Here is a 4,796-nt window from a genome sequence, read left to right as displayed (position 1 = left end):
CAGAATTTTCATTTCCTCTTACCCATGATGGGCCCGCAGGTTCCAGCCAACCAGTTGCCACCCTGCTCTGCTCTGGAGACATGGCATCAGCAGCCTCCATCTCTTTGAAAAACGGTAGGGTAGCACCTGATGTTGGCTCGGGATCTAAAATTACTAATCAAGGCCAACATCAGATGTAGAAACAGCTGAAGATGTTCATACCCCAGGATCATCCTCAATATGGCTAAATGAACATATTTGAGTGGCCCTTGGCAACGGAGACACAATGACAGAATCGCAGCTCCATCTGCCACCACCCCCTCCCACCGGCAGGTGCCCAAAGAGGGGCATGCCCTGGCTGGATTATTTACATACATTTACATATTCTATGTTTCATTATTAGCATACATTTACTATCCTTTTTGTTATAAAACTAAAGATAATCTTCCCACGTTTTATTTTCTGTCAAGTGTATTCCGTTGTATTTACGTCTGATGCAACTCCACTGTAATCCTAACAATAAAGCTATCTGCTCTTGAGGGCACTCTGAGAGGTTTGAAAGAGCACTAGCTGACAATGAAAAGCCTGCCTGCTGGAGCCATCTCTTTCATTTACTGACTCTGTGACTTTGGAGAAGTCATCTAATATTTCCGAGCCATAGGTCCTCTTTTTTCTAGACTAGTGGTTCTCAACTGGGGGTAATTTTACTCTTAGAGGACATTTGGCAATGTCTGGACACATCTTTTTGGCTTGTCACAATTGAGAAGGGGAGGGTGCTACTGGCATCTAGTGGGTAGAGGCCAGGGATGCCGACAAACATCCTACAATGCCCAGGACAGCCCCACCACAGAGAATCAACCAGCCCAAAATGTCAACAGTGCTGAGGTTGGTAGACTCCAGTGTAGATGACTCCAGTGTAGACATACAAAAGGCATGAAAAATATTACCATGAATATCCATGTTTCTAGCTTCCAGACATGAGGAGAGGGTTGAAGCCCTCTGCGTGTGTGCTGCCAAACCCTTGGAGTACCTGCCTCCAAGTGCATGTCCCTCCTTCCCCAAGCAGTAGCCACCATGCTCAGTTACACAGTTATCACTCCCATGTACACCACTGACAAGAAGGAAACGATTATAGCACATCAGCCTTATTTAAGAGCTAACATAAGGAACATTTGTCTGAGACATAAAGCCCAAGAAAATGTTGCAAATATCCCCTAACAAAATTTACAAATGGGGGGATTACGATGGTTTCATTTTCTTTTCCTATTGCCCCTTTCAGCGTTCAGAGTAGAAATCCTTCCACCTCCTTCGACAGATGCAGAAATGACGTCCAGAGAGGTTACATGACTTTTCCCTGACTGCACAGCAAGTTAGACCCAAGCTGGGCTCAAACTCCAGTCCTCAGAGTCAACTTTTGGCATCACCATGTGAGTCCAGCTTGGACACACTTTCAAAGACTTGGAGCCACAGGAGTTAATGGAAGTTGATCTGGGCTTCTCACCCGGGTTAGCAGCTGTGCGCGCTCTTGCTCGCTCTCTCTTTCTCTCTCATGCTTATGTGAAAAGCATTTTGCCCGGACTTGCCTGCCTCCCCACAAGTGGCCATTTCATTTTGTAGAGTAGCATTGAGGCAGGCTTCTCTCCAGAGGGAGAGAAGATTGAAGCCTGCTCCAAAGGCATTTGCCCTTTCAGGCCAGCCCCCTGCGGAGAGCCGGAGCTCACAGGAACAGCAATTGGGCTGCCTCTCCTGTTCCTTTTTGTTCCTCATGAAAAAAGGTGAAAAAGAAAGCAATTTCTGAGAAAATGACCTAGGTGATTAGGTACAATCACTTCTCTTTTGCTTTCTGCTCCAGCTGGGAAGCTGCAGTCAGACTGTGTATGAGGAGGGAGGAGGGGGAGGAAGATGGAGAAGAGGGCCCTGGATCTGAGCTGCTGCCCATCCCCTAGGAGGAAGGGACAAGACTGGCTGCAGAGCCACTTCACAGATGACTTCAATCTTTTTTTTTTTTCTATTTATTTAATCCAAGGGATGTACAAACAGATTAGCAAATACTTCTATAAGGTTTCTTACTAAAAAAGCATTTTCTCACTCTCTTTGCCCTCCCCCCCTTTTTTCCACACTCGGGCAATTGCTTTCAACTCTTTTAGCTGAATATGTTGATATTTAAATCTAAGTAGTGTAACCACCCGACAGGCTCATCTTGCTGGCTGCCCAGATAGAGCTGATTTATCAAGACAGGAGAATGGTAATAGCGAATGTTTAATTCATGCAGAGCCAGCTGAGACTGGAGTTGTATTATGACCCACATCAGCCTCCCTGCAAATTCAGGGCTTAGGGATTTTCAAGGATAGTTTGTGGGAAGAGGGTTAGGGAATGGGTGCTGCTGATTGGTTGGGGATGCAATCATAGGGGTGTGGGAAATGGTCCTGGTGTGTTGAGTTTGCTTGTGGGTGGGGCCACAGGACCCAGTGGGTCACAAGTCTCGGGTCCAGGCAGAGTCATCCGGTCTTCAGAAATGCAAAAGTCTGAAAAGACGTCTCAAAAGGTCAATCTTAGATTCTACAATAGTCATGTTATCTGCAGGAGTAATTGGGGAAGTTATGAATCTTGTGACCTCTGGAACAAAGGTGGGTATCCTTTAACTATGCTTACATCTCAGCAGATTCAGGCCCCTCTCATAATCCTAACCTGATGATTTAGTTTTGAGAAAGGGCTATTATCATCCTGGTTTTAAGGTTAAACTACAAACTGAATTTCTCCCAAAGTTAGCTCGTCCCACACCCAGGAATGACCAAGGGCAGTTTGGAGGTTAAAGGCACAATGAGGTTGGTTAGGTCAGATCTCTTCACTGTCAAAATTTTCTCACTGTCTCAATTTTTGCAAAGGTGGTTTCAGTAGCATGCTTGTAAAAAGCCTTGCCATCTTTGAAGTCAAAGCAGGTGACCAAGGAGACGTAAGTGAGTGTTGCCAAGTGAAGGGGCCAGAGTCAGCTGCATGTGCACCAGCAGCCACCTATGCTCATGAGGAACATGCCCATAACGAGGCTGAGTAGAACAAGAGCAGGCACCCATCTTCCTCTTGGCAACATGGAGCCTACATACCACCTCTGGATGCTGACTGCAGATTTCCCTTTTGTAAGACAAGTGAAACTCTCATTGTCTTAGCCATTGTTTAGATTTCTTTCACTGGCAGCCAAACAACCATGAATTGGAACAATGACAAAGTCAAGTGCAAAACATGGCCTTTATTTTACTCACTAGATAAACCTGTCACTGCACATTGTTAAAAAAACAAAATTCCTCTTTGTCATATCATACGATCTGCTGTCCAGTAAAGAGCAGCCTCACAATGACCAGAGACCCTCAGGGGGTGCTGCAGAAGACCTCTCAGGCCCTCAGAATGCCCCTGACAAGGCCACACAGTTCAAAACTCACCTTCACAAAGCATCCCTTTGGATTAGGGAGATGCTCCCTGGATGCTCTTTTGTTTTGAGAAGCGTAAATTTGCATTATGAGACATTCATGCTCTGAAGGACATAACCAAGGAGATGTGGCCAACGGTAACAGGGTGGGGGTGGTGGGCAGGCACTTTCAGATTGGGGAGGAAAATTAGCCAGCCATGATGGGGTGCACCTGTAGTCCCAGCTACTCAGGAGGCTGAGGCATTAGAATTGCTTAAACCTGGGAGGCGTAGGTTACAGTGAGCCAAGATTGCACCACTGCTCTCCAGCCTGGGTGACAGAGTGAGATTTTGTCTCAAAACTTAAAAAAAACAGATTGGGGAGGAGTTTAGTGGTGAGGTGGTGGGGTGATGTCCCTCAGTGAGGGAAGACACCGAGATCAGTCTGAATGTTGAAAATTAACTGGAGTAAGGTGGGGGTGCAGGAAGGGACTGCACTCTAGGCAGAGAGAATAGCAGGTGCAAAGGCCCTGAGGCTTGGATGTGTTTAACACACACAAGCTGTGCATGGTGGAGCTCTGTGGCTGGGGAGGAGGTCTGGAGGTGGGCAATGGCCACGCCATGGCTGTCTGTGGCTGGGAATTTTTTTTTCTTCTAAGTACTCTGGGAAGACCCAGCAGGATTTTAAGCAGAGTCTACGGACACTCCAGAAAGTTCTCACCCACCCCTGGGGAACTCTGCCTTTCCTGCCCCCTTTAACTGAAGTGCCTTTCTCCATTCCCTCTTTCACCTGGCTTACAGGGCTTGACGCTGTTACTTCCAAGAAGTGTTGCCCAACCCATTCTCCATGTCACAGGGCCAGCGCCTCTCAGGGCTCTCAGAGCCCCCAGAGCGCCCTTCCACTTGGACACCTGCCCCATGATTGTCAGAGGCACTTGAACCAGAGCAACTCCATCTTGAATAGGGGCTGGGTAAAATAAGGCTGAGACCTACTGGGCTGCATTCCTAGGAGTGTATGCATTCTTAGTTACAGGATAAGATAGAAGGTTGGCACAAGACATAGGTCACAGAGATTGCACTGATAAAACAGGATGTGGTAAAGAAGCCAGCCCAAACCTGCCAAATCCAAGATGGGGATGGAAGTGACCTCTGGTTGTCCTCATTGCTCATTATACGCTAATTATAATGCATTAGCATGCTAAAAGACACTCCTACCAGCACCATGACAGCTTACAAATGCCATGGCAATGTCCAGAAGTTACCCTATATAGTCTAAAAAGGGGAGGAACCCTCAGTTCCAGGAAATCTCCACCCCTTTCCCAGAAAACTCATGAATAACCCACCGCCTTGTTTAACAGATGATCAAGAAATAACTATGAGTATACTCAGCCCAGCAGCCCATGTCACAGCTCTGCCTA

The sequence above is a fragment of the Homo sapiens genome, chromosome 20 (genome assembly GCF_000001405.40).
Source record: "Homo sapiens chromosome 20, GRCh38.p14 Primary Assembly".
In the NCBI taxonomy this organism is placed as follows: Eukaryota; Metazoa; Chordata; class Mammalia; order Primates; family Hominidae; genus Homo; species Homo sapiens.
This window is presented reverse-complemented; position numbering follows the sequence as displayed.